General features: G+C 38.2%; 1 annotated feature.

Annotated features, from left to right (window-relative positions):
• Nucleotides 12359-12496: a transcriptional cis regulatory region, noted in NCBI's record as "candidate enhancer chr4.2002 targeted for multiplex CRISPR interference". NCBI's record gives its function as "positively regulates ANTXR2 gene expression with high confidence in K562 cells {active_cell/tissue: K562}" and the evidence as "EXISTENCE:mutant phenotype evidence [ECO:0000015][PMID:30612741]".

Raw genomic sequence — 13988 nt, forward strand, 5'->3', positions numbered from 1 at the left:
CATGTTCTTGGCACCTTTGTTGCAAATGAGTTGGCTGCAATGCATGAATTCATATCTAGTTTCTCTATTATGTTCTATTGGTCTATGTATCTGTTTATATAACATTACCATGCTGTTTTGGTTACTACAGATTTGAAGTAAATTTGGATGTCAGGTGGTGTCATATTTTCATATTTCCAGCTCAATTCTCTTTGTGCAAGGTTGCCTTGGCTATTCAGTCTTGTGGTTCCATATATTTTAGGATTTTAAGGGGCCAAGATGAGATCTCCAACAAATGTGTCTACAACTTAGGCAAGGCAGAAGTTCTGCACATACCCCTTGGAAGGGTGGTAGAATCCAGGGAGCCAAGCAGCATTGTTCTGCAGGCCCCACTTCCACAGCACTTCAAAAGATAAGACACACTGCCTTGGAATTCCAACCAGCCACCAGCAACAGGGTGGAGACTGCCTGAGACCTAATGGAGCCACAGGGGGGAGGGGCAGGCACCATCTTTGCTCTTTGGTCAACTCAGCTGTTCCAGCCTGTGGGCTTTGGAAAGTCCAAATAGTCCAGATGAGGAAAGTGCAGCACAGCAGCTTTGCCAGATTTTGGCCAGACTGCGTCTTAAAGCAGGCCCAATCCATTCCTCCTCACTGGACAGGGCCTCCCAGTCAGGCCCTCCAGCCACCCCCCCACACACATATTACAGATAGAGCTCTGATCTCTCCCAGGGATGGAGTGCCCAGGAGAGGGGGAAGGGCCACTGCCTGAGTTGGTTGTACGACTATGTCTCAGCCATTCCAACCGACAGGCATTGGAGAGTCCAAGCCGACACAGGCAGAGGCGGTTCTCCAGCATGACAGAGTTGTTGTGTCAAGATGTGGTCAGACTGCTTCTTTAAGTAGGACCATAATCCGCTACTCCTTGTGGCGGGTCCTCCCAGCTGGGTCTTCCCAGCCAGGGCCTCTGGCCACCCCTGCCTGTGTTCTAGGGGGCCAAAAAAGCTCTAATTTCTCCCTGGGACAGAGTACCGGAGAAGCAAGGCAGGCCACCAACTTGGCTGTTCAGGCTTCTCAGCCCACTCAGCCTGTGGGCCCTGGAGAGCCCAAACCAATTGAGGGCTGAACGTTATCCTCAACACAGCACAGCTGCTCTACCAAAAAGCAGCCAGACTACTTCTTTAAGCAAATCCCTGATCTCATTCCTCCTGAATGGATGAGACCTCCCAACTGAGGTCTCCAGCCACCTCCTACAGGAGCATTGGGGCGGGAAATAGGTCTGTAACCCCCGGGACAGAGCTTTCATAGGAAGGAGCAGGCTGCCATCTTTGCTGTTTCACAGCCTTCACTGGTGATACCTCCATGTACAGGAAAAACTGAGGCAATTAGGGACTACAGCGGATCCCCAGCAAACTACAGCAGCCCTATGGGAGAGTGGCCTGACTATAAAAAGAAAAACAAACAAACAGAAAACAGCAACAACAACAAAACTCAACAAAAAACCCCATCCAAAGGTCAGCAACCTCAAAGATCAAAGGTAGATAAGCCCACAAAGATGAGAGAGAATCAATGCAAAAATGCTGGAATACAAAAAGCCAGAGTTCCCCTTTTCCTCCAAATGACCACAACACCTCTCCAGCATGTGCTCAGAACCGGGGTAAGGGTGAGATGACCAAATTGAGAGAAGTAGGCTTCAGAAGGCAGGTAATAACAAACTTCACTGAGCTAAAGAAGCATGTTATAACCCAGTGCAAGAAAGCTAAATAGAGGAGCTGACAGCCAAAATGGCCAGTCTACAGAGAAGCATAACCAACCTGTTAGAGCTGAAAAACACACTACAAGAACTTCACAATAAAATCACAGGTATTAATAGCATAATAAAACAAGCAGAAGAAAGAATTTCAGGTCTTGAAGACTATCTATCCGAAATAAGACAGGCAGACAAGAATAGGAGAAAGAGAATGAAAAGGAACGAACAAAACTTCTGAGAAATATGGGATGATGTAAAGACACCAAATCTAAGACTGATTGGGGTACCTGAAAGAAATGGGGAGAATGGAACCAAGTTGGAAAACATACTTCAGGATATCATTCAGCAGAACTTCTCCAACCTAACAAGAGGGCCAACATTCAAATTCAGGAAATCCAGAGAACCCCAGTAAGATAATCCATGAGAAGATCAACCCCAAGACACATAATCATCAGATTCTCCAAGGTCAAAATGAAAGGAACAATGTTAAGGGCAGCCAGAGAGAAAGGCCATGTCACCTGCAAAGGGAAGTCCATCAGATTAACAGCAGAAACCCTACAAGCTAGAAGAGATTGGAGGCCAAAATTCACATTCTTAAAGAAAAGAATTTTCAAAACGGAATTTTATATTCAACAAAAGTAAGCTTCACAAGTGAAAGAGAAATAAGATTCTTTTCAGACAAGCAAATACTGAGGGAATTTGTTACCACCAGACCTGACTTGCAAGAGCTCCTAAAGGAAGCACTAAATATGGAAAGGGAAAACCATTAACAACCATTACAAAAACATGCTGAAATACACAGACCATTGACACTATAAAGCAACCACATAAATAGGTCTGCAAAATAACCAGCTAGCATCATGATGACGGAATCAAATTCACACATAACAATACTAACCTTAAATATAAATTGGCTAAATGACCCAATTAAAAGACACAGAATGGCAAGTTGAATAAAGAACAAAGACCCATCGATATGATGTCTTCAGGAGACCCATCTCATATGCATAAACACACATAGGGTCAAAATAAAGAGATGGAGGAAAATTTGCCAGGCAAATGAAAAACAGAAAAAAAGCAGGATCGCAATCCTAGTTTCTGACAAAAGAGATTTTAGACCAACAAAGATAAACAAATTCAAAGAAGGGCATTACATAACAGTAAAGGGTTCCATTCAACAAGAAGAGCTAACTAACCTAAATATATATGCATCCAATACAGAAGCACCCAGATTCACAACACAAGTCCTTAGAGACCCTCAAAGAGACTTAGACTCCCACACAATAATAGTGTGAGACTTTAACACCCCACTGACAATATTAGACAGATTATCAACAGAGAAAATTAACAAAGATATTCAGGACCTGAACTCAGCTTTGGATCAAGTGGACCTGTTAGATATTTACAGAACTCTGCACCCAAAAACAACAGAATATACATTTTTCTTATCACCACACAACACTTGCTCTAAAATTGATCACATAGTTGGAAGTAAAACACTCCTCAGCAATGCAAAAGGACTGAAATCATAACAGTCTCTTAGACCACAGCACAATCAAATTAGAACTCAATATTAAGAAATTCACTCAAAATTACACAACTACATGGAAATTGAGCAGCCTGCTCCTGAATGACTCTTGAGTAAATAATGAAATTAAGGCAGATATCAATAATTTATTTGAAACTAATGAGAGCAGAGACAATGTACCAAAATCTCTGAGATGCAGTTAAAGCAGTGTTAAGAGGAAAATTTATAGTACTAAATGCCTATATCAAAAGGCTAGAATGATCTCAAGTTAAAAACCTAACATCATAAATAAAAGAACTAGGGAACCAAGAGCAACAAATTCCAAAGCTAGCAGAAGACAAGAAATAACAAAGATTAGCGCTAAACTGAGGGATATAGAGACAGAAAAAAAACCTTCAAAAAACCAACTAATCCAGGAACAGGCTGTTTAAAACATTAATAAAATAGACAGCTAGCTAGACTAATAAAGAAGAAAATAGAGAATGTTTAAATAAACATAATCAGAAATGATTAGGGGAATATCACCACTGATCTCACAGGAATACAAACGATCATCAGAGAATATTACAAACAACTCTATGAACATAAAGTGGAAAATCTAAAAGAAATAGATAAATTCCTGGACACATACACCCTCCCAATACTGAATCAAGAAGAAATTGACTCCTTGAATAGACCAATAATGAGCTCTGACATTGAGATAGCAATAAAAACCCTACCAAACAAAAAAAGCCCAGGACCAGACAGATTCACAGCTGAATTCTACCAGAAGTAAAAAGAAAAGCTGGTACCATTTCTACTGAAACTATTCCAAAACATTGAAAAGCAGGGACTTCTCCCCAACTCACTCTATGAGGCCAGCATCATCCTGATACCAAAACCTGGCAGAAATACAACAAAAAAAGAAAACTTCAGGCCAATATCCCCAATGAACATCGATGCAAAAATCCTCAATAAAATACTAGCAAGCCAAATCAAGCAGCACATCAAAAACATGATGCATCAAGATGAAGTAAGTTTCATCCCTGGGATGCAAGGTTGGTTCACCATACACAAATCAATAAATGTAATTCATCACATAAACAGAGCTAAAGACAAAAACTACATGATTATCTCATTAGACACAGAAAAGACCTTTGATAAAATTCAATATCCCTTCATGTTAAAAACTCTCAATAAATTAGGTATTAAAGGAACATACCTCAAAATAAAAAGAGCCATATATTACAAACCCACAGCCAATATCATACTGAATGGCAAAAACTGGAAGAATTCCCCTTGAAAAGTGACGCAAGACAAAGATGCCCTCTCTTGCCACTCTTATTCAACATAGTATTGTAAGTTCTGGCCAGGGTGATCAGGCAAGAGAAAGAAATAAAGGTATTCAAATAGGAAGAGAGGAAGGCACAACATCTTTGTTTGCAGATGACATGATCATATATCAAAAAAACTCCCATTGTCTCAGCCCAAAAGCTTCTTGAACTGATAAGCAACTTCAGCGAAGTCTCACAATACAAAAATCAATGTGCAAAAATCGCTAACATTCCTATATAAAAACACCAGGCAAGCCAAGAGCCAAATCATGAATGAACTCCCATTCACAATTGCTACAAAGAGAATAAAATACCTAGGAATACAGCTAACAAGGGAGGTGAAAGACCTCTTCAAGGAAAACTACAAACCACTGCTCAAGGAGATCAGAGAGGTCACAAACAAATGGAAAAACATTTCATCCTCATGGATAGGAAGAATCAATATCATAAAAACGACCATACTGCCCAAAGCAATTTATAGATTCAATGCTATTCCCATTAAACTATCACTGACATTTTTCACAGAATTAGAAGAAACTATTTTAAAATACATATGGAACCCAAAAAGAGCTCATACAGTCAGATAATCCTAAGTAAAAAGAACAAAGCTGGAGGCATCACAGGAACAAAGCTGGAGGCATCACAGTACCTCACTTCACACTATAAGGCTATAGTAACCAAAACAGCATGGTACTGGTATAAAAACAGACAAATACACCAATGAAATACAATAGACAATTCAGAAATAAAACCGCACAACTACAACCATCCTATCTTTGACAAACCTGACAAAAGCAAGCAATGGGAAAAGGATTCCCTATTTAATAAATGGTGTTGGGAGAAGTGGCTAGCCATGTGCAGAAAATTGAAACTGGACCCCTTCCTTACACCATATACAAAAATTAACTCAAGATGGATTAAAGACTTAAATGTAAAACCCAAAGCTATAAAATCTCTTGAAAAATATCTACACAATACCATTCAGGACATAGGCATGGGTAAATATTTTATGACAAAGATGCCAAAAGCAATTGCCACAAAAGCAAAAATTGGCAAATGGAATCTAAATAAACTAAAGAACTTCCACACAGCAAAAGAAAATGTCATCAGAGTGAAAAGACAACCTACAGAATGGGAGAAAATGTTTGCAATTTATCCATTTGACAAAGGACTAATATCCAGAGTCTACAAGGAACTTAAACAAATTTACAAGAAAATAACAAACAACCCCATAAAAAAGTGGGTAAAGTCCGGGTGTGGTGGCTCATGCCTATAATCCCAGCACTTTGGGAGGTCAAGGTGAGCAGATCAGCTGGGCATGGTGGCTCACACCTGTAATCCCAGCACTTTGGGAGGAAGGGGCGGGTGGATCACGAGGTCAAGAGATCGAGATCCAGACCATCCTGGCCAATATGGTGAAACCCCATTGGTACGAAAAATACAAAAAACTAGCTGGGCATAGTGTCACACACCTGTAGTCCCAGCTGCTACTCGGGAGGCTGAGGCAGGAGAAGCGCTTGAACCCAGGAGGCAGAGGTTGCGGTTGCAGTGAGCCAAGATCGTGCCACTGCACTCCAGCCTGGTCACACAGTAAGACTCCGTCTAAAAAAAAAAAAAAAAAAAAAGGTGAGTGGATCGCTTGAGGTCAGGAGTTCAAGACAAGCCTGGCCAACATGGTGAAACCCCATCTCTACTAAAAATACAAAATTAGCCAGGCATGGTGGCAGGTGCCTGTAACCCCAGCTACTCATGAGGTTGAGACAGGAGAATCACTTGAACCTGGGAGAAGGAGGTTGCAGTGAGCCGAGATCATGCCACTGTACTCCAGCCTGGGCAACAGAGCGAGATTCCATCTCAAAAACAAACAAACAAACAAACAAAGACATACATGCAGCCAACAAACATATTTTAAAAGCTAAACATCAGAGAAATGCAAATCAAAACCACAGTGAAATACCATCTCACGGCAGTCAGAATGGCTATTACTGAAAAATCAAAAACAACAGATACTGGTGAGGTTGCGGAGAAAAAGGAATGCTTTTACACTGTTGATGGGCATGTAAATTAGTTCAGCCATTGTGGAAAACAGTGTGGTGATTCCTCAAAGACCTAGAGGCAGAAAAACCATTTAACCCAGCAATCCCATTACTGGGTATATACCTAAAGGAATATAAATCATTGTGTTACAAAGATACATGAGCACGTATGTTCCTTGCAGCATTATTCACAATAGCAAAGACATGGAATCAACCTGAATGCCCATCAGTGATAGACTGGATAAAGCAAATGTGGTACATATATACCATGGAATACTATGCAGCCATTAAAAGGAACTAGATAGTGTTCTTGCAGGGACATGGATGGAGCTGGAAGCTATTACCCTCAGCAAGCTAACACAGAAACAGAAAACCAAATACCACGTTATCACTTATAAGTGGGAGCTGAATGATGAGAACACATGGACACATGCAGAAGAACAACACACGCTGGGGCCTGTCAGAGGGTGGGGTGTGGGAGGAAGGAGGACATCAAGAATAGCTAATGGATGCTGGGCTTGATACCTAGGAGATGGGATGATCTGTGCGGCAAACCACCAAGGTGCACATTTACCTATGTAACAAACCTGCACATCTTGCACATGTACCCCGTACTTAAAATTTGGAAATCAAATAAACCAATAAATAAATTATAGGATTTTTTTTCTATTTCTGTGAAGAATGTCATTGGTATTTTGATAGGGATTGCTTTGTGTTTTCCTGCCATCTTAACAATATTAATTCTTCCAACCCATGCACATGGAACATTTTTTCATTTTTCTGTGTCTTCTTCAATTTCTTTCATCAGTGTTTTATAGCTTTCCTTGTTTAGCTCTTTTAATTCTTTGGTTAGATTGAGTTCAATGTCTGTTATATTATTTGTAGCTATTGTAAGTGGAATTGCTTTCTTGATTAATTTTTCAGATTTTTTTGAAATAGAAATAGATAATTGAAATAGAAATTATATGAAGTATCTTAGTTGGTATATATAAATGCTATTGATTTTTGTGTGCTGATTTTGTACCCAGAAACTACTGAATTTATTAACAAGTTATGACAGTTTTTTGATAAAGTCTTTAGTTTTTTCCAGATATAAAATCATGTTATAGAAACAAGGCTAATTTTACTTACTATTTTGCAATTTGGATGCCCTTTATTTCTTTCTTTTGCCTAACTGCTCTTGCCAGAACTTTCAGTACTGTGTTGAGTAAAAGTGGTGTAAGTAGGCATCCTGAGCTTGTTCCAGATTTTAGTAGAAAGCCTTAAACTCTTTCCCATTTAGTACAATGTTAGCTGTGGGCTGGTCATATATGGCCTGTATTATTTTGAGGTATGTTCCTTTTATTCCCATTCTGATGAGGTTTTTTGCCATGAAGATATGTTGAATTTTATCAAATGCTTTTTTGGCATTTATTGAAATAATTGTATGGCTTTTGTTATTGATTCTCTTAATGTGATATATCGTGTTTATTGATTTGCATATGTTGACCTATTCTTGCATCCCAGGAATGAATCCAACTTGATTATGGCAAAGAACCTTTTTAATACATTGTTTTGTTTTGTTTTTTTGAGATGGAGTCTTGCTCTGTCGCCCAGGCTGGAGTGCAGTGGCGCAATCTTGGCTCGCTGCAAGCTCGGCCTCCTGGGTTCACACCATTCTCCTGCCTCAGCCTCCTGAGTATCTGGGATTACAGGCGCCTGCCACCATGCCTGGCTACTTTTTTGTATTTTTAGTAGAGATGGGGTTTCACCATGTTAGCTAGGATGGTCTCAATCTCCTGACCTTGTGATCCACCTGCCGCAGACTCCCAAAGTGCTGGGATTACAGGCGTGAGCCACAGCACCCAGCCTTTAATACATTGTTGAATTCAGTTTGCTAGTATTTGTGTGTGTGTGTGTGTGTGCTTTTGTTTGTTTCTATTACTTTATTTGTGATCAAAATATCTCTTTAAAATAACTTGCTATATCTTTAAGATGTTTTTCATAAGCCTCATGATAACCACAGCACAAAAACTTGTAATAGATACATTAAAAATAAGCAACAAATTAAAACATCTTACCAGATAAACCACTTCAACACAAAGCAATATAGTAAGACTGAAAAGTCTGAAAACAACCAGAAAATAGGCAATAAAGTGGCCATAGTAAGTCCTTACTCATCAACAATAACATAGAATGTAAATGGTCTGAAATCTCCATGTAAAATGCATAGATTGGCTGAATATAAAAAAATCAAGACCCAACTATATGCTGCCTTCAAGAAACCCACTTTACCTACAAAAATGCACATAGATTGAAAGTGAGGGGGTAGGAAAATATATTCCATGCAAGTGAAAACCAAAAACGATCAAGAATAGCTATGTTTATATCAGATAAAACAGACTACAAATCTAAGAATGTAAAAAGAGACAAGAAAGTCACTGTATAATGATAAAGGGGTCAATTCAGCAAGAGAAATTATAACAATTATAAGTATATATTCACCCAACACCAGAGCTCCCAGGTATATACAGCAAGTATTAAAAGATCTAAAGGGAAAGATAGAATGCAATACAAAAATAGTAAGGGACTTTTACACCACACTGTCAGTAATGGGAACATCATCCAGACAGAAAATCAACGAAGAACCAGTGGAACTATACTGCACAATAGGTCTAATAGACCCAAGTGATATTTACATAATATTTTGCTCAACTGCTGAAAAAAATACATTCTTTCCACTAGTGCATGGAACATTCTTCACAGTAGACTATATCTTAAGCCACAAGACAAGTCTGAACAAATTCAAAATAATAGAAATCATATCAAGCATCTTTACTACCACAATAGAATAAAACTAGAAATTAATAACAAGAGAAACCTTGGAAAATGCACAAACATGTACAAATTAAACAACATGCTCTGCATTGATCAATGGATCAATGAAGAAATTAAGAATGAAACAAATGAAAATGAAAATACAACATATCAAAATCTATGAGGCACAGCAAAAGCAGTATTAAGAGAGAAGTTTAAAGCAATAAACACCTATATCATAAAAGGAGAAATAAACAACCTAAAAACACATCTCAAGGAACTAGAAAAGCAAGAACAAACCAAACCCAAAATTAGTAGAAAGAAAGAAATAATGAGGACCAGAGTAGAAATAAGTAAAACTGAGACAAAAAAAATACAGAATATCAACAAAACAAAATGTTGTTTTTTTGTAAAGATTAAAAATTCAACAAATGTTTAGTTACACAAAGAAAAAGAGAGAAGATCCAAATAAATATATAAAAACACAAACAAAAAAGGAGAGATAACAACTGAGACCTCAGACATACAAAGAATAATTCAAGACTAGTGTGAGCAACTAACTATATGCCAACAAATTGGAAAACCTAGAAGAAATGGATAAATTCCTAAACACATAAAACCTACCAAGATTGAAATATGAAGCAAGAGAAAACCTCAACAAGCCAGCAATGAGTAGTAGAATAAAAGCCATAAGTCTCCCATCCAAGAAAAGCTGAGGACCTGATGGCTTACTGCTGAACTCTACCAAACATTTGAATAATGAATCAAACTCTCAAAAAAATTAAAGAGGAGGGAATACTTTCATAAATTCATTCTATGTAGCTAGCATTACCCTGATAACAAAGCCAGATAATGACTCAACAGAAAAAGAAACTTACAGGTCACTGTCACTGATAACCATAGAGGCAAAAATTCTCAGAAAGTCTTTTCTTGAAGGAAGATCTGCATAGCTCATCTCTGTGTCCAGTACAATGTCCCTGCCTTTCTTCTCCTCAAAGCACTTTTCACTTTTCCTTCATTTCTCTATAACTTGAAACTTGTTTTTGTGTATTTATCTGTTCAATTGCTGGCTTCTCCACCAGATGGCAAACTTCATGAGAGCAGAGGTTACATTTATTTCATTTTCTACTATATACCCAGCACCTAGCACCATGGCTGGCACGTTACAAGAACATGAATGTTTGATGAACAAATGAATAAATGTTGCTGACATCTGAGGATAATTTGCCTTGAAGGTATTTGTAACCGGGATCCTGAGTGGTCAACAGATGCAAACCACTGCATATGACCCAAGCCTCTACAAGATTCGGAAAATTCTGCTTTTCCCTGCCAGGGGTATTGCTTTTTCAACTAACAGGCCTTAGTCTAGCCTGTGAAGTCTGGTTTCAGACCCTTGTGGTCTGACCTATCTTGTTTCTATCTCCAGCTTAGAATAAAATAGTGCCTTCAGCTTCTAATCCTCCTGAGTCTTTGAGAATCTAATTTCCTTTCATCTGCGGCACTAGGTAAAGTCATGAAGAGCTAATTTGGGTGAAGTCCTGGTGACATCATAACCACATCTACTATCAGCTACTGTTTCCTGCCCCCCAAAAAATCTGAATTTTCTTCTCTCTAGGCTTTGAAGCTTGTATATTTCCAACATCTCTTTTCCCCAAAAACTATTTTCATGCTGTGTTATACTGGGTTTTATTGCCCACCCTCCAGCTGAGCAGTCCTCCTGACTCTTAGCTTGCAGTTCTCATTCAGGAATTTCTGCTACCCACTCATGGGGCAGAAAGGAGGGGAGAACAGCCATTAAGGCTATCAAATATTACAAAATTGAAGACCCCACTGCTGGAATTTTAACAGCTGCTCTCCATACTGTCTCCTAATCTAAGCTTGACCATGTGGTTCTCAATAACAATTTAGGGAGGAGGGGTTCAGATCATCTAGACTATAATTATTAAACGGGGACAAAAAATTGAAGACCCCAACAATGATCAATTTGGTAACTTTACAGAGGACTAGCCTCACCCCAGTCATCATTAGGAGTTTCTTTTCAGTCTGCTCAGTAATGTGGTTGAGGAAAAGGATCCCCGGGCCTGGGTTCAAAGCCCAGCTCTGTCATATATTAGCTACATAATGTTGGGCAATTTGCTTAACTTTCCATGCCAACATCTTCATAAATATAAGGAGGTAAAATAAAAGCATCCACATATGAAGTGCTTGGAGTGATTAATAAAGTAATGTATACAAGTTGCCTAACAAAGTTTCTGGCACAGAAACAGAAGAAACACATAAAAATGTTATTGACTATTGTTATTTTTTGTGTCATCACTCTTTTCTTTTGTTCAATTGTCACTCTCTCTCACCTTCCTTCCTCCTCCTTTCTAGTCGCTCTGTCTCATTCTTTCTCTGAGTTTTTCTATAAATGAGGAGAAAAAAGAGCCTTATCTACTCATGCCTTCACTAAGAAATTAGTCATTTATTAATAATGAGAGGCAATATTGCAAAGTGGTTGGTCTGGTAGACTCTGGAGCCTGATGTCTTGTTTAATATTGTATCTGCCACATCCTTTCCTGTGTATTCTTGGGCAAGATACTTAACTTCTCAGTTTTCCTATCTGGAAAATACAGATAATATTTGTGTCTGCTTCACAGAGTTATTTTTAAGATAAAATGATTTATATAAAGTACCTAGTGCATAAGACTTCTGGATAAATATTAACTTTATTTCTTACAGCTTATTTTTATTTTAAAAGAAGGAAAAGAATTACTAAAAATAATAAATAAATAAATACTAAAAAAAAAAAAAAAAAAAAAAAAAAAAAAAAAAAAAACTCCGGCATGAACAAGGGAGCTATCAGGGATCAGATAGCCTCTCCCTGTTATACATCAAACCTCCAAGTTACTGTGTCTACTGAAGACCTTACTTTAATAACTTTCCCAACAGTCAACTCTCTTTCAACTAACTTTTCTCTTCTCTCTTGGGAGATTTCCCCTGGGTTGCCTGTTAGTGACTCACTTCCTACTGGCAGTCTTGTTCACACTTTAAACTTCCTGACAGTTAGTGAATCACCTCTGTATCCTGCCTTGTTATGTATTTATTTTTGCTTCTCCTTACCTGCCCCTACCCCCACCCCACACCAGCCACCTAATTCTCCTGGAGAAATCAAACAGTGAAGAGAAAAGACATTAGGGGCCAGAACATTGGATATCCATTGAAACTCAATGCCTTAAATACCTTTGGATGAAGCTTCAACTCAAATGTTGGTAAAATGTCTCCTCCCTCATTTCTCTTAATGTTAGAACCTACAATCTCTCAATTCTAACCTGTTATTTTCTTCAAAGCCTCCAATTAAAACCTCAGGTACAAACACTTGTATTTGTTTAGTGAAATATTTTTTACATGAAGAAGACTTTGGAAGATGAAATTCTAGACAGAAGAGGTAGTGTGATGAGAAAGAAAGAGAGGATGAGAAGGGGAGGATGAACAGCAACGGATACCCGCAAAATGAATGGGGATGGTGATAGTACAGGTAAAGAGAGAGGATGAGCAAGAAAGAGAATTTGGAGAGACTGATGAAAAAAACAGAAAATGAAAAATAAAAACTGAAGAAAGTAGAATATAATTAGCCTGGTGATTAAGAGTACTGGTTTTAGAGTTAGAGTAACTGTTCACATTACAGCTTTAATACTCACTAGCCATGTAACCCAGAGCAAGGTAGTTAACGTTTCAGTACCTCAGTTTTCCTATCTTTAAAATGGGAATAATAGTAGTACCTACCTCAGGGTTGTTGTGATTAATGAGCTAATGCATGGAAAATGTTGTGAACAATGTCTAGAACATAACAAGTGCTCAATAAATGTAGCAGTGGTTATTATTAGTAGGAATATTTATTCTTATAACTAAGGTCATCAGAGCAATTATTGTTTTCTTAAATTATCAGTATTTATAGCTATGACAACTTCTGAATGTCTACATTTCCAAATAATTAGAAAAACTTTTACTAGAGATGCCCAATATATTTGTCAGTGATATTAAATATTACTATCTCACTAAGAATGTGCTAAAGAAAATTCAGCAAAACAAATTATTTACAATTTGCACAAATGTGCTACAAACATCCAGAAGAAAAATTCAACTGCATTTTTGTACTGTATTTAATGTATCTATTTTAGAATATCGAGGCACTTTCCTAGAGCCAGGACATCCTGTTTTAAAATACTAGGGTCAGCGGGGAGAGAAGACTCAAAAGTCTATGTGTTAAATGTGTTTCCATACATTTCGCAGGGAACTGACCCCAAATCCCAGCATGTGTGTATAACTGCCTCAGATACCTGAAAGTAAACAAAACGGATAACTAGTCCTGCCTATTGAACCAACATTAAAGCTCTGATCAAAAAGATCTTCTCATCAGATGTTCATATATTCAAAAGTTTACTGCATCCCATAATGTGTTGACATGTTTACTGTGATTTGCTAAGAAGCAGGAGAGACTTTTTTCCACTTAACAGGAGGCTTCTTCAATCAGGCTCCTAAAGGGTTTTAGCAGTTCAAGCAGGTGAGTGACAAATGTGATTACAATCAACAGGAAATAGGAGCTAG

This window comes from Homo sapiens, chromosome 4, assembly GCF_000001405.40.
Source record: "Homo sapiens chromosome 4, GRCh38.p14 Primary Assembly".
NCBI classification, from domain to species: Eukaryota; Metazoa; Chordata; class Mammalia; order Primates; family Hominidae; genus Homo; species Homo sapiens.